The following is a 23,792-nucleotide window of genomic DNA, read 5'->3' on the forward strand; positions in this document are numbered from 1 at the left end:
GTTTGCCTGGGTCAGTCTTGGTTTATATCTGTTGTTCTGAAGCAATTATTATTATCATCCCTTTTCATGCTCAAAAGAGTCCAATTTGGATGAGTTACATGGCCACCCTAATCAAAACTAGCACAGTCATGTGTGGTTTAACAAAGACATGTTCTGAGAAATGCATTGTTAGGCAATCCAAACGTTGTTATGCAGCACATAACTATACTGTGCCATCTTCCTGCTATAACTGCCAAAATAATCACTGAACAATCATCAATGATGACCAGCTAGACATAAAACTCATCAAATGTGCTATGTATGAAGTAGGTGACAAATGGCTCTAAAGGTAACCTTATTCAAGGGGTCCAATATAAGAAGTACTGCTTGGTACTAGACAAAAAATAAAATCCAGTTCATATCTAACAAGAATAGCAAATGACACAATGTCCTGAGCCTAAATTAAACTCCTGCATGCTTTCAATAAATTGCCACATAGTATTTATATTGGGTTCTTTGCTCATATATTAACATATATACACACACCCCAAAACCAAGTGTCTGAATCTGGAACTGTTTCCAAGTAAAGTTTAGAACTTATATCCCAAATTGAAGAGTTGCTTTCAGGTCATCTGAAATTTGTAACATATAGAGATTAAAGAAAAAAGAGATATTCTATCATGTAATAAGAAATCAAAAAGCTAGTTTATAAGAATGCAATCAAAGTTTCCCATACTATCACTTTCTCTCACATTTCTAAAGGGAAAATAGTCATTCCTTTCCACTTACTTAAAGGAGCAAAGAGAAAGTTTTCCATATCTGTTCATATGTTAACAGTAATTAGTTTCCAACTTTCCAGGTTAAGCTCTTCAACTCTAATCTTACACAATTTGGGCGATGCTAAACCGTATTTTATTTTCCATAAATGTCTTAGAACTTCATATAGCACAAAGAATATGATCATTTTCCGCAGGAGAAAAATTTGATTTCTACCATATTCAGCCTATATATAATACTTCTGAAAATAAAGTTTTTAGGTAACAAGGTTTTCAGAATTTCTGCTGGACACCATAAGGCACACATGTCTCTTTGGGTACTTTTGGGTAATAATAAAAGAGTCTACAAAAAAATACAAGATTAAGCAAAGCCAAATCAAATAGATCTAGATCCAAAGACACACTACATAATTCATTACCTACAATGAGAATGGGTAAAACACCCTAAATTTTCAAAAACATAGGTTTCACTAATTTTAGATCTTTTTTTTTTTGAGACGGAGTTTTGCTCTGTCGCCCAGGCTGGAGGGCAGTGGCGTGATCTCGAGATCTCGACTCACTGCAACCTCTGCCTCCCAGGTTCAAGTGATTCTCCTGCCTCAGCCTCCTGAGTAGCTGAGGTTACGGGCGCGTGTCACCACGCCTGGCTAATGTTTGTATTTTTAGTAGAGATGGGGGTTTCACCACGTTGGTCAAGCTGGTCTCGAACTCCTGACCTTGTGATCCGCCCGCCTTGGCCTCCCAAAGTGCTGGGATTACAGGCATCCCAAAGTGCTGGGATTACAGGCGTGAGCCACGGCACCCAGCCCAATTTTAGATCATTTTTATAAAACACAGGGCAGGCCGGGCACGGTGGCTCACGCATGTAATCCTAGCACTTTGGGAGGCCGAGGCGGGCTGATTACAAGGTCAGGAGATCGAGACCATCCTGGCTAACACGGTGAAACCCCGTCTCTACTAAAAAAAATACAAAAAATTAGCGGGGCGTGGTGGCGGGCGCCTGTAGTCCCAGCTACTCGGGAGGCTGAGGTAGGAGAATGGCGTGAACCCGGAAGGCGGAGCCTGCAGTGGGCCGAGATCGCGCCACTACACTCCAGCCTAGGTGACAGAGCGAGACTCTGTCTCAAAAAAAAAAAAAAAACAAAAAAAAAACACAAAAAACACACAGGCATAGGATTAGAAGGCAATTTAATCTGTTTTAATCACGGCTCCCACTAGATGGTATGTTCCTTAAGGGGACTATGTTTCTGTGTGGAGGCATATTCTTTTTATATCTCCATACAGTTCCCGCCACATAGGAAGCACATAACATGTATTTGTGGAATGATCAATGATCATATGCTTTATAATCCTAAAATCTGCCACCTTCCTCCCTTCCTACTCATCTCACAGCCAATTAACACCCAATGCTTTTCTAAAAATTGATACAAAGAAATGGTAATTTATCCACATGTTCAATTTTCCCAGATATTTTTAAAATCTAAATAGAAAATTAATAATTACCATCTTTTCTGGTGCTCCAATTCTAATCTCTAAAACAGATATTATATAGAACTAGATTTCTATTTTTTAATTCTTCATGTTTCAATCTTTGTAAGTCCATTAAAATTATGAAATCTCTTCCTTAAAAAAAAAAGCTCCATAAAATGTTTACCAATATCTATAATATGTAAAAACCAAAGTAAGATCAATACTGCCATATTAGGGGTCAGAGGTCTCTTTTGGATTTGATTAGGATGCCAATAAAAATGACCAAAGGCTGGGCGCAGTGGCTCACGCCTTGTAATCCCAGCACTTTGGGAGGCCGAGGCGGGCAGATCACGAGGTCAGGAGATCGAGACCATCCTGGCTAACATGGTGAAACCCCGTCTCTACCAAAAAAAATACAAAAAATTAGCCGGGTGTGGTCGCGGGCGCCTGTAGTCCCAGCTACTTGAGAGGCTGAGGCAGGAGAATGGCATGAACCCGGGAGGCGGAGCTTGCAGTGAGACGAGACTACCCCACTGCACTCCAGCCTGGGCAACAGAGTGAGACCCTGTCTCAATCAATCAATCAATAACAGAGAACTCAATTTCAGGAAATTAACATTATTAAACCTTTCCATTCAGCTTTATTTTCCCCTCTCAGGTCTCGGCATCAACTTTCCACCTTGTAGGCATACCACAAAAATCTATTTCAAAATAACTTAAAATTATGAAATAAATTATTCAAATGTAATTTAAATCTCTAAATGTGACACTGCTCATGTGGCTTCAAACAGTCTCATATACAGCTCAGTTCAAGACTTAAATACTGAGTGATTAACATTTTTCATCCAAGAAAGAGAAATGTTTTATTTGGGAAAACACAGCACAGTTAATTTCTTATCTTTAATTTCAAACTAATGAAGAGGCAGGTTTTTGAATTAGTTTTTCCAAGAGTTTCTAATTTCTACAACAACTTACATAGATTCTCAAAAGATCCTCCCATTACATCAACCAAATTTATACTGGGAATCCTGATTACATAACAAAGCCTGTTAGCAACACCTTTCCAACTTTGCCATCTAACTCCATTTCAACAGTACGAAAAACACTCCACTTAGTTTCCCAAATACTACACAAGCTGCTTTGAGTCTGCCATCCATTCACTCTTTATTTCTTAGCGTGTCTCCTACAAAGGCCTCAGAGACTCTGAGTAAAATTTCTGAGAGTAACCATCAGTCCTAGATAAGGAACCCGATTTTCTCCTACTTCTTATATACTCCTTACATTAAAAAGTTTTAATCTCCATCACCAAAGGCTGATTAAACACTACCACAGGGTGAAGACTTTAATAAATTTGTCTTTGGTTCTATTAAACAAAAGCTTCAGATAAATCTGTAAAATACTGACTTCATAGGAAACGTATTTCAAAGCTGGGCACAGCAGTATACTCCTGTGGTCCCACCTAGTTGGGTGGCTGAGGTGGAGGGATCGCTTGCAGCTAGGAGTTCAAGGCCATTGTGCACTATAATCACACCTCTGAATAGCCACTGCACTCTAGCCTGGGCAACACAGCAAGACCCTGCCTCTAAAAAACATAAAAAAACATGCAGCCATAAAAAAGAGTGAGTTCATGTTCTTTGCAGGGACATGGATGAAGCTGGAAGCCATCATTCCCAGCAAACTAACACAGGAACAGAAAACCAAACACTGCATGTTCTCACTCCTAAGTGGGAGATGAACAATGAGAACACATGGACACAGGGAGGGGAATATCACACACCAGGGCCTGTCAGGGGGTAGGGGGCAAGGGGAGGGAGAGCATTAGGACACACACCTAATGGATGCAGGGGTTAAAACCTAGATGACGGGTTGATAGGTGCAACAAACCACTATGGGACATACATACCTATGTAACAAACCTGCATGTTCTGTACATGTATCCCAGAACTTAAAGTAAAATTTTAAAAAACATTAAAAATAAAAAATATTTAATGTATTTTAGGGGGTTTTTGTATTTTAGTTTTTTAATTTATAAGCAATATTATATGTAACGCTAGGTCTGCTTTGCACAGAAAAATTTAAATTTAGAGTTTCCAAAACTGCAAATAAATCTACGTAACATGCTATTTCAATGAAAGGTATATTTTAAAACTACATATGAAATACATACAAATATACTATTGTTAACCCCAAATCTCAAGTTTTATATGTAGCACTAGGAAAATAAAGTAGCATAACTCCCCCTGAAAAAACAAGCTGGCCAAATCAGGGCAAACTGGTAAAAGCTAGAACTAAGCTTCTGTAAATACTGGTCATCTAAAGTAGCTTACAAAAAACGATGCCTCTATAGCGTATGTAAAGATGTAAGTCCTATAGTGTTAAATTACAGTTTCTCTCTTATCACCCTAAGTGTAAGGTCATTTTATCTCAGTCTGTAGTTTGGCACAATTAATGTTATTTCATTTAGGATTCAGACTAAAAATCCTACAAGCACCAGAGTGCTTCATAATGAATCAGACTGCTAACTCAATGAAATCTCACCCAAAATACAAATCACTAATCATCTCAACAATAGTTTGCAAAATCAATCACAGGCAGAGACACAGATGCTGGCAGAGTTCCTAAAATTGAAAAAACACAAAATTAAGCCTATATGAGGCTTAATTTAGAGTTCAGAGTAAATATCAATAACTTATTCCATTTTACACATTCTCATATAAATCTGTCTTATATTGGCATTTATTCCCAAAAGTTACGGAAGGGAAAACATGTTTTTTTGTGTCTTACTACATACTCATCTTAATAAATAACTATCCTTCCCATCTGGTCTTAACCATTATGAGCTCCCTTCCTGAGAAAATGTGTCTGTGTTTATCTTGCTTAACAAAGCAAATAACTCTTGCACTGTGCCATTTTTGAAGTTTCTATTTCCTTATCAATATCTTTTTTGTTGTTGTTGTTTTTAGACAAGGTCTCACTCTGTCACCTAGGCTGGAGGACAGTGGTACAATCATAGCTCATTGCAAGCTTGAAATCCTAGGATGAAGTGGTCCTCCCTCCTCAGACTCCCCAGTAGCTGGGACTACAGGCACATGTTATCACACCCAGCTAATTTTATTTTATTTTTTTTTTTAGTAGAGACAAGGTTTCACTATGTTGCCCAAGCTGGTCTTGAACTCCTGCCCTCAAGACATCCTCCTGCCTTGGCCTCCCAGTGCTACTAGGATTACAGGCATGAGCCACAGTGCCTAGCCTTTTTTTTTTTTTTTTTTTAAAGAGACAGTGTCTACCTATGTTGCCCAGCCTGGCCTCAAACTCCTGGGCTCAAGCAATCCTCCTGCCTCAGCCTCCCAAGTAGCTAGGACTACAGGTGTCACCACTACAACCAACTATAGTATTTATTTTTAACTATACACAACTATTAATCATTACAACTGTCATACTAAATTTGTACTTCACCTGAATGGGATAAGCAGCTGATACTACAAAAACTGCCCCTAGCAAACTATACTGCATATAGTAAGATCATATTGACAAAATTAAAGATTGATGGCAATCACAAGAGCTTAAATGATGCCCTGGGATAAAGAACAATTTCATTAGCAACCCCATTCCATTTCCATACCAAAGGCCTGTGGATGGCATTTGTCTTTCTTTAATTATACATTCAACTAAAGTCCATAGATTATAAAATAATGCAAACATTTTTTTAAAAAAGACTTAATTCCAAGTGTTCATGACATCTCCAGCTCTGTGACCACTCAAAAAAAAAAAAAAAAAAAACACATGTTTTATAATGGCAAAGTCACTCATCATTATTGAAAAAAATAACCTTCAGACTTTTGAAGTCTAATGTTTCTGACCAGTTTAACATTTATTCAAGAAATATTTATTGCATGCCTATTCCTTACGACATTTACTGTACCAAGCACTAGGGTGCTTCAATAGTGAACAAGTTGGACATTGTCCTTACCCGCATGGAGCATATACTGTTTTCACAGCACTACTTGAAAAAGAAAAGCTATACAGTATTTTGCTTTTCAATAATTCTGCAAGGAATTTGGCATTTCTTGTTACTACTTCCTTTTTCTCCCTCATCAGGTAGTTGCATTGTTCTCTACTGTCACTACTCTAAAATAAGTAGAACAACTAAAGGGAAAATAAAACATCCTTATCACAAAGGATGAGGGTGATGAATAACCGATAACCTCTGGCATGGTCAAGAATAGGTGGAGAGAACAGAGTTCCCAGGACAAGAATGAGAAGTTTTAAATGGCCTAATATTGGGGAATGGGACTGAAGATAATAAGTTAAACACATACTAGTACATTTAACTTAAGATGATAGCAACTGGTTTCCTAAATCAGTGATAATATTCTTTTCTACAATCCTTGCTAGCAAACCAAATAATTAGATAACCCAAGGAACAAGGAAATACTTGGATTCAATATGTTTTATTTCTAGTCAGTTTATTCTTGGGGCTCTATTTATTAAATATATTAAATTTATTAAATATATTAATATTTAATATATTAAATATATCTCAAGTCAAACACTAGTTATCTGTGCAAATAAAATGCATAGGCATATGTGGCAATAAAGTCCCTAGATGAATATGAGAAAACGTTATTGGTTGTTATACATCTTTCCAAAGGTAATCCGAAGATAACTTTACGGCAATCCAGAGATAACTTACAGGAAGCTTCTGGCTCTGGAAAGCGATGAGGGCATAGTCTAATCGTCAGTTACAGTACTACCAGGAGGAAATAAAGGAGAAAGAAATCGAATACAATTCCTTTTCTGCATATTTAAAACTTTTTCCCATATCTGAGATACAAGACAACAGCAGCAGCAACAACATGAAACATACATAAATACTAAAATAAAAAACAGAGACCAGACCTGGGGTTATAAATCAATCACTTCAAAATTTCAAAAATAATGCTACTATAGACATGTTTCATTTTATTTCATTATCAATATGGACAACTTAAGCTTATGATTTTCCTCCCAGAATTCCAAATTAAGTCTTAGTCTCCACCTAACAATTACAATGCTTTAATGCCTTGCATTTAATGCCTCCTACTCATCTAAAGATACTGAATATAATCTATTTTTTTTTTTTTTTGAGACTAGGTCTCACTTTATCACCCAGGCTGGAGTGCAGTGTGGTGCAGCCTCAACCTCCTGGGTTCAAGTGATCCTCTCACCTCAGTCGTCTGAGTACCGAGGACTACAGGTGCACGCCACCACCATCCAGCTAATCTTTGTATTTTTTTGTAGAGATGGGTTTCACCATGTTGCCCAGGCTGGTCTTGAACTCCTGGCCCAAGTGATCTGCCCACCTCAGCCTCCCAAAGTGCTGGAATTACAGGTATGAGCCACTGCACCCAGCCTTCTTTCCACTTTTTTGATTTAGTTTCTGTTTTCTTTCTCCTCTGATACGTACATTTTCATCTTTTTTAATGGGTATCAACTTCCTTTTCATCATTCTTGGCTTAAGTCATCTTTTACCTCTTCTTCTGTATATTTCCCCATGCAGAAATCAAGTTAATTCTAAAATTTATACGGAAAGACAATCTAAAATAGCCAGTACACTTCTGAAAAAGGTATAAACATAGATGTGCACGCTATCTGATTTCAAGACTTACTAAAACTACAGTAATCCAGAGAGTTTGGTATTAATGAAAGAAGACACACATAGTTCAATGGAACAGAACTGAGAAGCTGGAAATAGACCCACATACATGGTCAATAGATTTACAACAAAAAGGTAACCATAGAGAAAGCACAGATTTTTCAACAAATGGTGCTAGAACAATGGTATATCCATATGGAAAAATAAATAAACAAACATCAATCCATACCTTGCATCACAAAGTAAACTTACAAGGACCATGAGCTTAAATATAAAACCAATAACTATAAAACATCAGAAGAAAACATCAGAGAAAAGTTTTGTGGCCTTGAATTAGGCAAAGATTACTTAGATATAACATAAAAAGCATGATCCATAAAAGAAAAAACACTAATAAACTAAATTTCAAGAAAAGTTAAGACTTCTGCTCTTTGAAATTTGAAGGAAAAGACATGTCAGGGTTTAAGAATAAATATTTGCAAAACACGTATCTGAAAAAAAAACACTCCAGAATATATAAAGAACTCTCAAAACAAAATAATAAAGCAATCTTATTTTTTAAATTACCAAAATATTTGAACAGATACTTCAAAGAAGATACACGGATAGCAAATAAGCACATGAAAAGATGCACAACATTAGGCATCAGTGAAATACTAAAAACCACAATGAGATATCGCTACACATTAGAAGGATTAAATTTAATAAATGACAATATCTAGTGCTGACGAAGATTTGGTCTGCATGCACACGCACAAAACAAGGGGGATTAAAAGAAAACTTGTCTCAAAGTGCCACAGTGCTGAAGTAGAAGAGATGATGCAAGACTTCCATGAAGAGGTGACACTAAGCTGAATCTTAAAGAATGAACAGGAATCAGTATTTCCCTCAAGGAAGGGGGTTGTAGGTGTGGTAGGGACAGACAAAGCGAAAATAAAAGCATAAGCAAAGACACATAAATAAGAAATAACATGGCCGGGTGCGGTGGCTCATGCCTGTAATCCCAGCACTTAGGGAGGCCAAGGAGAGTGGATCACCTGAGGTCAGGCGTTCAAGACCAGCCTGCCCAACATGGTGAAACCCCGTCTCTACTAAAAATGCAAAAATTAGCTGGGCATGGTGGCGGACACCTGTAATTCCAGCTACTGGGGAAGCTAACGCAGGGGAATCACTTAAACCCGGGAGGCAGAGGTTTCAGTGAGCCAGTATTGCACCACTGCACTCCAGCTGGGGCAACAGAGTGAGACTCCCTCTAAAAAAAAAGAAAGAAAGAGAGACAGAGAGAGAGAGGAAATAACATGAGGATGCTGAGCATAGTGGCTCACACCTGTAATCCCAGCACTTTGGGAGGCTGAGGTGGAAGGATCGTGCTTAAGTCCAAGAGTTCAAGACCAGCCTGGTGGCACAGTGAGACCCTGTCTGTATTGCTAAAGAAAATAAAAGTAAATTAAAAAAAAATTTTTTTTGAGACAGGGTCTTACTCTGTCACTCAGGCTGGAGTACAGTGGGATTGTCATGGTTCAATGGAGTCTTGACCTCCTGGGTGTTAAGTGATTCTCCCACTTTAGCCTCCCAAGTAGCTGGGACTATATGTGCATACCACCCCACGCCTGGCTAATTTTTGTATTTTTTGTAGAAGCAGGATTTCACCACATTCCCCAGGCTGGTCTTGAACTCCTGAGCTCAAGTGATCTGCCCACCTTGGCCTCCCAAAGTGCTGTGATTACAGGTGTGAGCCAAGGCCTGGCCTAAAAATATTTTTAAAAAAGGAAACAATATGAGGAGAGAGGCTGTTCACAGGGGTTGCTGAAAAATATCACCAGAGTCATGGAGAGATGATGTTCTATATGTAAAGATAGAAAGCTTCAAAAATCTGCTTCTATTTTACTGAGTCTTTCCTATAAATCATTTTCCTCATGTAAAGAATTTGCCATCCATAAGAGTCTAATAATAAATGAGGCCGGGCGCAGTGGCTCACGCCTGTAATCCCAGCACTTTGGGAGGCCAAGGTGGGCGGATCACCTGAGGTCAGGAGTTCAAGACCGGCCTGGCCAACATGGCGAAACCCCGTCTCTATTAAAAATACAAAAAAACAGCCGGGTGTGGTGGCGGGCACCTATAATCCAGCTACTCGGGAGGCTGAGGCAGGAGAATCGCTTGAACCTGGGAGGTGGAGACTGCAGTGAGCCAAGAAAGTGCCACTGCACTCCAGCCTGGGCAACAAAGTGAGACTCTGTCTCAAAAAATAATAACAATAATAATAATAATAGATGACACTACTAATCCTAGTTGCCTCCTTCCTTCATTCGCTTTTATTTTCCTCTACTCAACAACATTGCTTCTAGTTACACATCTGAGTGGGCCTATATCCTCTAATGATTTAGCTATCACATTATTAAAGACATTACAAATGCCTTAAAATCCCTGTACTTATATTAAATATAAAATACTCTTGTCACTTGCCATCATAAAAGCAAACTATAGCATGGCGTTTCAATGTCATTACACTTACCCCCAGTTTCTCAGCATACACAATTATAATCACTAGTGTAGTGAAGAGATTCATTCAGTTAGCACAAGACTCAAATCTAAAATGTGTACTCAAACTCTTCCTTGAAACTCAGAGAATCCACTTAAAGGAGACTACACTATCTATTTCTAAATTTGGGATTCTTTAGGTGCAGCAAATGATGATGACAATGATCACCATCACTGCAACTACCAACTACTAGCTACTACATATAAGTTATTTACCTAACTTTATTTCACTTAATTAATTTCTCCCAACAATCTTGTAAGCAGGTATTACTATTCCAATTCTAGCATTCAGAAAACTGTAATATAAAGAGGTTTAGAAGCTTGCTGGCAAGCAGCAGAACTGGAATTCTAATCCAATTCCACTACATTGATCTGCCTCAGATATATGCCTTCAATAAATCCTTTGTCTTTAAAGTTTGAAAACCCTCAAAATGATCTCCAATACTAGTATCATAAATCTGAAAATCTACTTTCTTTGACCAAACTTCTTTTTTGTTCCAATATTAGTGGGAAATCTACATTCCACAATTTGGCAAAAAGTAAGTTAAAATAGCTCGATCACATTCCAAGATTTAATGAATATATTCAAGATTTAATTTTTTTGCATACTAAGGTAAAATGTAAGCGAACAGTTTTTTAAAAACTTGGATGGGAAAAGATCTCTTCAGGCAGGAATCCAAAAATAGAAACATAAAAAGACATATTTATATGATTATCTAAAAATTCAAACCTCCTGTACATTATACAAGACAAAATGAAAAGCAAGTAAAATACGGAAGATATGTATGACATGCATGATAAGGTTAACAGTTTTAAACATGCTAAGAGATTACATAATACCTTTTTAAATGAGAAAGAACATATTATAATAATAGGCAATTCGGCCAGGCACCATGGCTCACGCCTGTAATCCCAGCACTTTGGGAAGCCAAGGCAGGCAGATTGCCTGAGCTCAGGAGTTCAAGACCAGCCTGGGCAATACGGCGAAACCCCATCTCCACTAAAATACAAAAAATTAGCCGGACGTGGTGGCATGTGCCTGTAGTCCCAGCTACTCAGGAGGCTGAGGCAAAAGAATTGCTTGAACCTGGGAGGCAGACGCTGCAGTGAGCCAAGATTATGCCACTGCACTCCAGCATGGGCGACAGAGCAAGACTCTGTCTCAAAAAAGTAATAATAAATAATAATAATAATATGCAATTGATGAAAGAAGTGCAAATGTGTAATACATATATAAAAAATTAACCTCATTCTAAACGGAAAAAAAAAACACAAGGCAATAAAATATAATGCCACTTTCAGGAATTTAACCTAAGCCTAAAGACAAGAGTTTATTCTCAACAATAAGGTAGTTAAATAAAATACAGCCATATCTATATGGCAGTACAAGTCTCCTTTCTCTCTTTTCATAAGTAAATAAATTGATTTAAATTTTCCACCAACTCCCCTTCCACACATCACTAGTATTTCACTACAATGAAGATAATGTTTTCAATTTTTTAATTTTAAGCAGCTAAAACTGGTATGCTTGAATGGGATGGACTTTAGGCCAAAACAGAATAAGGTAAACACAGAATGATTCAATGCAGAGCTGTCTCCCAAACTGTTAAATTATTTAGCTAATCATACAGCTCTTAGTCAAACCCAAAGTGATAGTAAACCCTCTAACTGCTTGTTTTCAAGGAAAAACTTAAGATATCCTACAAACTGACTATGCTGAGTACACAGCTCCCCCCACGCTCCCCCCAACCCCGCCCCAATGCAATCATTTAGTCAACTCAATTTTCTCATTAACAAAATGTTCAAATACAATGCAAGGACCTTTTAGCCAAAGGGGAAAAAAAAGTCAGTCTTTTTTTGTTTAGCACATTGGGAGGCTGAGGTGGGAGGGCTGTTTGAGGCCAGTAGTTCAAGACCACCCTGGGCAACATGGCAAGACCCTGTCTCTACAAAAAATAAAATTAGCTGGGGTGGTGGTGCATGCCTGTAGTCCCGGCTACTCAGGAAGATTCCTTGAGCCCAGGAGGTTAAGGCTGCAGTGAGCCATGATCATGCCACTGCACTCCAGCCTGGGCGACAGAGGGAAACCCCGCCTCAAAAAAAAAAGCCAAGCATGATGGATTATGCCTGTAATCCCAGAACTTTGGGAGGCAGAGGTGGGCAGATGGCATGAGCTCAGGAGTTTGAGACCAGCCTGGGCAACATGGCAAAACCCTGTCTCTACAAAAAATACAAAAATTAGCTGGGCATTGTGACATGTGCCTATGTTCTCAGCTACTTGGGAAGCTGAGGTGAGGGGATTGCTTGAGCCCAAGAAGTGGATGCTGCAGTGACCGGTGATTGTGCCACTGCAGCCTAAGCGACAAAGCAAGACACTGTCTCAAAAAAAAAAAAAAAAAAAAAAAAAAAAAAAAAAATTCATTCCCATCTGCTTAATACAACATACAAATTTTTAAATATAAAGCATGCCCTAAAAATCCTCTGTGCTCTGCCTATTTATCATTCCCTCTCCCCCTCCCCCTGGCAATCACTCATCTTTTTGCTGCCTCCATAGTTTTGCCTTTTCCCGAGTGTCATTTAGTTGGACTCATACGGTGTGTAGTCTTTTCAGATTGGGTTCTTTCATTTAGTATTATGCATTTTAAGTTTCCTCCATGTCTTTTCATAGCTTGATAGCTCATTTCTTTTTAGCACTGAATAACACATCACTGTCTGGATGTACCACAGTTTATTTATCCACTCACCTACTGAAGGACATCTGGGTTGCTTCCAAGTTTGGACAATTATGAATAAAGCTGCTATAAACATTCATGTGCAGGTTTTTGTGTAGACATAAGTTTTTTATTCATTTGGGTAAATACCAAAAAGCATGATGGCTGGATCATATGGTAAGAGTATGCTTATTAGTTTTGTAAGAAACTGCCAAACTGTCTTCCAGATTAGCTATATTATTTTGCATTCTCACCAGCAATGAATTCCCATTGCTCCGCATCCTCCTTGGCATTTGGTGTTGTCAGTGTTTTGGATCTGGCCATTCTAAAAGGTACACTGGTATCTCATTGTTGTTTACAAAGGATTTTTTAATTAAAAAATAAAAAGGCATTTGACTATATTTGAAGATATGCAAAAAACTTTCCCCACTTTTTTTTTAATTTTGAGACGGATTCTTGCTCTGTCGCCCAGGCTAGAGTTCTCCTGCCTCAGCTTCCCAAGTAGCCAGAATTACAGGTGCCCACCACTGCGCCTGGCTGATTTTTTTTTTTTTTTTTCATTTTTAGTAAAGATGAGGTTTCACCATCTTGGCCAGGCTGGTCTCGAACACTCCTGACCTCGTGATCCACCCGCCTCGGCTTTCCAAAGTGCTGGGATTACAGGCATGATGAGCCACTGTGCCCAGCCAAAACTTTCACATTTTTAAAAACAATCTTTGTTAGCCAGGTGCGGTGGCTCATACCTGTAATCCCAGCACTTCGGGAGGCTGAGGCGGGCAGATCACTTGAGGTCAGGAGTTCCAGACCAGACTGACCAACATCATGAAACACCGTCTATACTGAAAATAAAAAAATTAGCCAGGCATGATGGTGCACACTTGTAATCCCAGCTACTCGGGAAGCTGAGGCAGGAAAATCACAAACCCGGGAAGTGGGAGCTGCAGTGCGCCAAGATCGCGCCACTGCACTCCAGCCTGAGCAACAAAGCCAGGCTCCGTCTCCAAATAATCATCATCATCATCATCTTCAGCATCATCTTTGTCATATTTCTGATAGCCTAGCATGTTATCAACATTGAGAAAGCTATATATTACCTAAAGATATCTGCAAACTATCAAGATAAGTAACAAATGTGTACGGTTAAAAAAAAAAGCAAAGATTAATAAAATGAGAAAATACTGCCAAGTAGAGGAAGTAGTTTAAGAATACTTACAGATTCACAAAATAAATGGGTATGTAAAAAGTTCAGTGTCCATTTAAACATCCATATTTTCTTTGATCAAAAGCAGAACATTTATGGTTTTTTGTAAAATGTTTTGTTATTATAAGCCTAATACTAATGCATATAATTTCTCTAAGGCTCATTCTTCTGTTGTACTCATGATATTTTTCTAAGTTTTTTTTCATATTCTGATTGAGAAAAATTAATCTGATTTTGCTTGGGTATTATTTAAACAACAAATGGTAGGTATTTTTGACTGTAAATCACTCACATACCCATAATATTTTAAAAATCATTTGGTATTGTGAAAAATATTCCGATAAGGAAAACCTTGCATCTAAAGGAAACACTGCATGTTCTTAATTTATAGATTCAAGACCATATTCCTCCCAGAGAATATATATGTACATATATATATACTTGAAGCATAAATATATTCAAAAGCATGTTTAAAAACAAGGATACTTTACACTGTATTTACTCATCAGCTGTTCAATAATTTTAAATTCAAATAAAATTACCCAGAGTTACTTTACTTTGTTTAGAAGTGCCTAAAGGTCATTTATAAATGCCCATGGATAACAGATTATCCCCAAGCAGTAACATCCTGTCTTGAGATACAAAATACTTGTTTTCCCAACAACCTCTAGGCATAAGATAAATAGAATCATTAGTAAGTAAGCTATGTCTCTTCTTTTTGAAACCAAAGTGCAATGACATATAAAAAAGTATAGATTTGGGTGCTGTTAACCACCGATAACCTCCCTAGGTGCCTACATCCATGGCAACTATAGAGGCAAAAATTCTATACTTTAAGCCATCAGTTTGAACAATCAGCAAATTAAAAAAAATACAGACGCCCTTATTGACCAATCCCAGTGGCAGCAACTAAATCAAGTAGCTATGCTAAACTGAAAATATGAGAAAAATATATTAAGTAAAATTAATAGGCCAGGCAGTGGTTCACACCTGTAATCCCAGTACTTTGGGAGGCTGAGGTGGGCAGATGACCTGAGGTCAGGAGTTCAAGACCAGCCTGGCCAACATGGTGAAACCCCGTCTCTACTAAAAATACAAAAATTAGCTGGGCATGGCGGCATGCTCCTGTAATTCCAGCTAACTGAGGGGCTGAGACAGGAGAATCGCTTGAACCCAGGAGGCAGAGGTTGCAGTAAGCCAAGATCGTGCCATTGCACTCCAGCCTGGGTGACAGAGTAAGACTCTGCCTTAAAAAAAAAAAAAAAAAAAGACAAGTCTAGAAAGTATTGATTAGTAACTGTCATGGCTCTCTCCAAGAAATACTAACATAACAAATCACAGTTTTCTATGGCAGCACATACTGAAGTCCCCTCTAAAAAAGTGACTCTCGACCAGATGTGATTCTGCCCCTCAGGAGACATTTGGCAATGTTTAGAGATGGTTTTGGTTAACACAACTTGGGTGGCTTGGCAGGGGTGCTACTGGAATCTAGTAGGCAGAGGTCACAGATGCTGTTAAACACCTACAGAACTCAGGACAGCCCCCACAACAAGAAATATCTTGTCCCAAATGCCAATGGTGCTAAGGTTAAAAATCCCTGCACAAATATGACCTAAGCATGAGTCCAGAGTATAGTATCCATTGAAAAAAGCATTTAGAAAATCAAGTACCATGCAAAGAAATCATTGTCAGAGAGAAATGAAAAAGCCAGAGGTTATGAATTGTATTTATTTCCAAATTCTTCGTAAGAGATGATGATATTCTAGCCATCAAAAGTATCTCTGGATGCTGAGAAGCAGACAGCTATTCCACCAAAGGCTGAGCATCCCAGCAATTTCCAACTGGAGACAAATAATAGGATATAACTATCATTCAATGAGCACCAACCATGTGACAAACATTATCCATAGTGTTTTACGCGTCAGTAATCACAACTTTTAAGTTGGAGGTGCTTTAATTATCTTTATTTTAGAGTGGCATAAGCGCATTCTGAAATTTGCCTCTGGTCACATGGTTAGTGGGTGGCACAGTGGGATTTAACCCAAGCAGTCTGGCTCTACAGTCCCAGCAGCAGAGACTACATCATGCTGCCCCCGTCTCTTATGATGGACTTGGAAAACTCTGAGGACAGAGCAGGAGAACAGAGAAAAACTTGACAGGAATTCTGGGCATTTCCCTGAGTACTAAGCAGCAGCCACTGATTTCTGAGTGTTGGGTAGGGGAGCTGAGAAAGACATGGCCAACATGATTACTACAGAAACTGCTCAAGATTAGAAGACAGATAAGCTTTCTATGCAGTAAGAGTGTACAGGTATATGCGTTATAAATTTTACTAAAATGTCTCCCATGAAACTTAAAAATTGTAAAACAATTTTTGTTAATTTTATATAGCCAGCTGGGCGCAGTGGCTAACACCTGTAATCCCAGCACTATGGGAAGCTGCGGCGGGTAGATCAACTGAGGTCAGGGGTTCGAGACCAGCCTGGCCAACATAGTAAAACCCCACCTCTACTAAAAATACAAAAAATTAGCCGGGCATGGTAGTGGGCACCTGTAATCCCAGTTACTTGGGAGGGTGAGGCAGGAGAATTGCTTGAACCCAGAAGGCGGAGGTTGCAGTGAGCCCAGATCGCACCACTGCACTCAAGCCTGGCAACAGAGTAAGACTCTGTCTCAAAAAAAAAAAAAAAAAAAAAAAAAAGATTTTAGAAATAGAAGGAAAGAGAGATTATAGTCTTATAGTCTGGTAGTTCTCAACCTTGGTTGGCCTTTATGGAAGAAACAATACCAATTCCACATAAACTCTTCCATAAAGTTGAGGCAAACATTACCCTAATATCAAATGAAACAAGAGTGCAAGAAAACTATGGACTTCATGAACATAAATGCAAATAAAGTCTTTTTTGAAGTTTAGCAAATTAAATCCAGCAATATAAAAAAAAGAGTGATCCATCATTATACCAAGTGGTGACTACCCCAGTAATGCAAGCAAGGTTGATTTAACGTTCAAAATAATAAAAACCACCTATTAAGAAACTTAAAAGAATACACATGATCATCTCAATAGATACATAAAAAGCATCTGAAAAATCCAATGGCCATTCCTATTTAAAAAGAAAACCTTCATTTAAAAAATAAAAGTGAATTTACTTAGCCTGATAAATGGCATCAATGAAAAATCTATAGCTAACATTAATGGTGAAATTCTGAATGCTTTTCTCCTAAGATCAGAAACAGGGCAAGGATGTTAGCTCTCACTTCTATTGAAGTTTACACCAGACACCAGAAGTTCTAGCCCATGCAATCAAGCAAGAGAGAAGATATAAAAGTCATGGAGACTGGAAGGAAGAATTAAACTCATGTTTATTCACAAACAATAAATTATATATATGTAAAAAATCCTATAGAATCTACAAAAAATCTAACAGAATTAATGAATAGATTTAACAGGTAACAGAATACAAGATTAATATGTCCCCTGCAAAAAAATCAAGTGTATTTATTTCTACATACAGGTAACAAGCAAAAGTAAAAAAGAAATTTTTCTTTTTTTTTTTTTTTTTGAGACACTTTCCCTCTTGTTGCCTAGGCTGGAGTGCAATGGCACCATCTCGGCTCACTGCAACCTCTGCCTCCCAGGTTCAAGTGATTCTTCTGCCTCAGCCTCCTGAGTAGCTGAGATTACAGACATGCGCCACCACGGCTGGCTAATTTTGTATTTTTAGTAGAGACGGGGTTTCTCCATGGTGGTCAGGCTGGTCTCGAGCTCCTGACCTCAGGTGATCCACCCACCTCGGCCTCCCAAAGTGCTGAGATTACAGGTGTGAGCCACTGCACCCGGCCAGTAAAATTTTTTAAAGTATCATTTACAATGACATAAAAAAATAGAGATTAATATGAAAACAGATGTGCAAACCAGTTGACATGGTTTAGCTCTGTGTCCACACCCAAGTCTCATGTCCAGTTGTGGTTCCTAGTGTTGGAGGAGGGGCCTGGTGGGAGGTGACTGAATCATGGGGACAGACTTCTCCCTTGCTGTTCTCATGACAGAGTTCTTAAGACAGCTGGTTATTTGAAAAGTGTGTGGCACTTCCCCCTTCACTCCTGTTCTTTCTGTCTCTCTCCTGCTGGCCTTGTGAGGATGTGCCTGCTTCCCCTTCACCTTCCACCATGATTGTTAAGTCTTCTGAGGCCTCCCCAGAAGCAGAAGTCTGTACGGGGCCCACAGAACCATGAGCTGATTAAGCCTCTTCTCTTTATAAATTACCCAGTCTCAGGTATGTTTTTACAGCAGTGTGAGACTGGACTAATACACCAGTACACTGGAAACTATAACACATTACTGAGAAAAATTAAAGAACTAAATAAATGAAGACATACCTTATATTCATGGGTCAGAAGAATCAATATTAAGATGTTATTCTTCCCCAAATGATCTACAAATTTAACACAATCCCAGTGAAATACCTAAGGTGGTTTTTTTTTATTCATTGAAAGTGATCTTTTTTCTTTCCTTTTATCTTTAATAATTTCAGCTTTTATTTTAGATTCAGGGAGTACACATGCAGGCTTGTTACATGGGTATATTGCATGATGCTGGGGTTTAGGGTATGAATGATGGCATCACCCAGGTAGTAAGCATAATATCTAATAGGTAGTTGTTCAGCCCTGTTCCCCTCATGACATTTTTTTTTTATAGAAATTAACATGCTTATTCTAAAATATATATGGAAATTCCAAGGGCCTAGAAAAGCTAACGCTGAAACAACTTTGAAAAAGAAAAATAAAATTGGAGGATTTACACTATTGATATGGTCTGGCTCTGGGTCCCCACTCAAATATCATCTCAAATTGCAATCCCTATGTGTTGGGGGAGGTGCTTGGTGGGAAGTGATTGAATCATGGGGGAGGACTTCTCCCTTGCTTTTTCTTGTGATAGTGAGTTCTCATTAGAGATTGTTGCTTGAAGGGGATGTGTGGCACTTCCCCCTACACTCTCTCTCCTGCTCTGCCATGCTAAGACATGCTTGCTTCCCCTTCACCTTCTGCCATGATTCTACGTTTCCTGAGGCCTCCCAGTCATGCTTCTTGCCTGCGAACCAGGAGTCAATTAAACTTCTTTTCTTCATAAATTACCCAGTCTCAGGTATTTTTTACAGCAGTGTGAGAACAGACTAACAGAACTACGTAATTTCAAGAGTTATTACAAAGCTTCAGTAATCATGGCAATAAGGTACTGACAAAGATTAACATCAAGAGAACAGAGTCTAGAAACAAACACAAACATACATGGTCAATTAATTTTCAACAAAACTGCCAAGGACGCCAGGTGTGGTGGCTCATGCCTGTAATCCCACCACTTTGGGAGGGCAAGGAAGGCAGACTGCCTGACCTCAGGAGTTCGAGACCAGCCTGGACAACATGGCAAAACCCCATGTCTAACAGAGAAATACAAAAAAATTAGCTGGGCATGGTGGTGTCCCTGTGGTCTTAACTACTTGGGAGGCTGGGATGAGAGGATCACTTGAGCCTGGGAGGTCCAGGCTGCAGTGAGCCATGATGGTGCCGCTGCAGTGAGCCGTGATGGTGCCACTGCACTCCAGCCTGACAGAGGAAGACCTTGTCTCAAAAAAAAAAAAAAAAAAAAAAAACTGCCAAGGATATTCACTGGGGAGGATAATCTCTAACTAATAGTGGTAGAGCAATTAGATTACCATATTTTAAACAAACGAACCTCAAACTTTACCTCATACTATATAAAAAAAAAACAAAAACACAGTAGCCCCCCATCTCTGTCCCTTATCTACAGTTTCACTGCAGTTTGTAACCTGTAGCCAACAGGGTCAAAAGATATTAAATGGAAAATTCCAGAAATAAACAATTCACAAGTTTTAAATTGTGTGCCAGTCTGAGTAGTGTGATGAAATCTCCTGCTGTCTCTTTCAGTCCTGCTTGGACATGATTCATCCCTTTGTCCAGCATATTCACACTGTTTAGTATACCTGCCTATTAGTCAATCAGTATCTATCTCAGTTATCAGACTGTCAGTCTCACAGTGTGTTTAAGAAACCCTTATTTTACTTAATAATGGCCCCAAAGCACAAGAGTAGTGATGCTGGAAATTCAGGTATGCCAAAAAGAAACCATAAGGGGCTTCCTTTTTAAGTGAAATGGTGAAAATTCTCAATTTAATAAGGGAAGAAAAAAATCGTATAGTGAGGTTGCCAAAATCAATGGTAAGAATTAATCTTCCACCTATGACATTGTGAAGAAGGAAACAGAAATTCATGTGGTAACTGCAGTTTTAGGCATCCACTGAGGGTCTTGGAATATATATCCTCCACAAATAAGGGTGGGACTACTCTATGTTCAACATGGATCACAGGCCTAAATTTAAGAGCCAAAATTATAAAATATCTAGAAGAAAACACAGGAGAAAACCTTGGTGACTATGAGTTTCGCAAGGATATCTTCAACACCAAAACAAAAGCATGATCCATAAAACAAAAAATTGATAAATTAGACTTTCAAGAACTTTTGCTCCTTGAAAAACATTATTAGGAAAATAGGCTAGGCATGGTGGCTCCTGTCTGTAATCCCAACATTTTGGGAGGCCAAGGAAGGAGAAGCACTTGAGACCAGGAGTTCAAGACCAGCCTGGGCAAATATAGCAAGACCCCGTCTTTACAAAGTAATACAAAATCAGCCAGGAGCCTATAGTCCTAGTTACTCAGGAGGCTGAGGCAGGAGGACTGCTTGAGCCCAGAGGCTGCAGTGAGCTATGATCGTACCATTGCACTCCTGCCTTGACAACAGATTGAGATCTTGTCTCTAAAACAAATAAATAATTTTTTTAAAAAAAGAAAATAACCCACACACTGGGAAAAAATATTTACAAATCATGTATATGATAAAGAATGTATATCCAACATAAAGAACTGTCAAAATTCAGTAATAAAAAAAATTTCTAATGGGCAAAACATTTTAATAGACACTTCACCAAAGAAGATATATTGATGGTAAAAAAGTACATAAGATGCTTTAGTCATTAGAGAAGTGAAAATTAAACCACAATGAGATTCTACTCTATACTTTGGCCTATTAGAATGGCTAAGTTTTTAAAAAACCGAGCCAAGAAAACAACCGGAACTTTCATACACTAAAGATGAGAATGCAAAATGCTACAACTTTGGGAGAAAGTTTGAAGGTTTCTTAAAAAGGTAAACAGGCCAGGCACGGTGGCTCACACGTATAATTGCAACACTTTGGGAGGCCGAGGTGGGAGGATTGCTTGAGCCAGGAGTTCAACATGAGCCTGGGCAACATAGTTAGACCCCATTTCAATTAAAAAAAAAAAATAGCCAGGCATGGTGGTGTGCACCTGTGATCCCAGCTACTAAGGCAGCCGAGGTAGGATTGCTTGAGCCTGGGAGGTCAAGGCTAGAGTGTGCCATGATCACACAACTGCATTCCAGCCTGAGTGAAGGAGCAAGACCCTATCTCAAAAAAAGAAAAAAAGTTAAATATGCAGCTACCATATGACCCAGACATTCCACTCCTAGATATTTACCCAAGATAAATGAAAACATTTGTTCACCCAAAGATTAAACTGAACTCAAATGTTCTTAGAGCTTTATTTATAACAGCCCAAAACTGGAAACTGTTGAACAGGCCAGGCACAGTGGCTCATGACTGTAATCCCAACACTTTCGGAGGCCAAGGTGAGAGGATTGTTTCAGGCCAGTAGTTCAAGACCAGCCTGGGCAACACATCAAGTCCCTGTTTCTACAAAAAACAAACTTTGCTGGGAATGGTGGCACGCACCTGTAGTCCCAACTGCTCAGGAAGATCACTTGAGCCCAGGAGGTTGAGGCTGCAGTGAACCACGCTAATGCCACTGCACTCCAGCCTAGGCTAGTATAAACAAGGTCAAAAGTAATATGTTCAGGATGGGTGTGGTGGTTCACGCCTGTAATCCCAGCACTTTCGGAGACCGAGGCAGGTGGATCACCTGAGGTCAAGAGTTCGAGACTAGCCTGGCCAACATGGTGAAACCCCGTTTCTACTAAAAATACAAAAATTAGCTGGGCGTGGTGGTGGGCGCCTGTAATCCCAGCTATTCAGGAGGTGAGACAGGAGAATTGCCTGAACTCAGGAGGCAGAGGTTGCAGTGAGCTGAGATTGTGCCATTGCACTCCAGCCTAGGTGAGGGGAGTGAAACTCCATCTCAAAAAAAAAAAAAAAAAAAGGAACATGTTCAGACCCAAACTAAGAAGTTGCAAGGGTACCTGTAAAAGGATCACATATCATCTATTATAAGCCAAGTGTATGAGAGCTCTTTCATTCAAAGTAACAAATCCTCTAGAAAAAGTAGATTTAGTCCATGTTTTAATGTGGAAAAAAACTGAAGTAACATTCTAACACTTCATATGAAATCCTTCATCTTTTTCCTTTTCCTACCTTCCAATTTCGGGCTCTGCCTCTCTGGTAGTACATGGCAAATCCAAGAATTGAGTATTTTTTCACAAATTTAATATCTGTTTATATAAACAATCACCTGTACATAAAACTAAGCATGTTATACTCCATCAAAAAAAAAAACTAATTCAAGAAATTGGTTTTAATTACCAGAAAACTGAACTTGATAGTATCAAAAACTGAACTAATGAATCCTTTTCATAAAGCTAATTACTTTAGCTTTTCTATTTCTTCAGGAAAATATTTTAAATTAAGTCTTACACAAAGGCCAGGTATTATGGCTCACACCTATAATCCCAGCACTTTCGGAGGCCAAGGTGGGAGGACTGCTTGAGCCCAGGCGTTCAAGGCCAGCCTGGGCAACATAGTGAGACCCTAACTCTACCAAAAAAAATTTTTTTTTTTAAAGTAGCCAGGCACAGTAGCATGTGACTGTGAGTGAGCACCAGCTTCTTGGGAGGCTTAGATAGGAGGATTACTTGAGCCCAGGAGGTCAATGAGCTTATAATTACACCACTGCACTCCAGCCTGTGAGCGACAAAGCAAGACCCTGTCTCTTAAAAAAAAAATTAAAAAAAATAAAGTCTTGTATACAAAGTTTTGAACAATATGAAAGTCTGAATAGCTGTAACAGCCATCCCATACTTTTGAACTGAACCAAATTATACAATATTTTAATGTTAGATAAACATAAAAGTTGTGTAAAGAGGTGTTAAAACTAGTATGACTATTCTGAGAAGCAGGGTTTAGAATGTGTATAAGCCATATCTGAAATCTACAAGTCTCCATTAAAAACAGTAGAGTAAAACAGAAAAATCTTAGTAGCCCAACTGTCTGAAATAAAACTTGATAAAGTATAAAGAAAAGCTCCATCCAGGAGAGGGTTCCAAGGTACCAACATCTTAATTACAAAAGGATGTAAAAGAAAGTTAAGGCCAATGCTGACTCACACTGATCCAAAACAACTAGCATTAAACAAAGAGCTAACCCTTAACTTTTTGGCAT

General features: G+C 38.7%; 1 protein-coding gene across 19 annotated transcripts in view; it reads right to left on the reverse strand.

Moving 5' to 3' along the window:
• CNOT6L (CCR4-NOT transcription complex subunit 6 like) overlaps positions 1-23,792 on the reverse strand; it is a 106,883-nt gene that overhangs the window by 63,780 nt on the left and 19,311 nt on the right. The gene's annotated exons all lie outside the window — the stretch shown is intronic.

Source organism: Homo sapiens, chromosome 4 (genome assembly GCF_000001405.40).
Source record: "Homo sapiens chromosome 4, GRCh38.p14 Primary Assembly".
Classification (NCBI taxonomy): domain Eukaryota; kingdom Metazoa; phylum Chordata; class Mammalia; order Primates; family Hominidae; genus Homo; species Homo sapiens.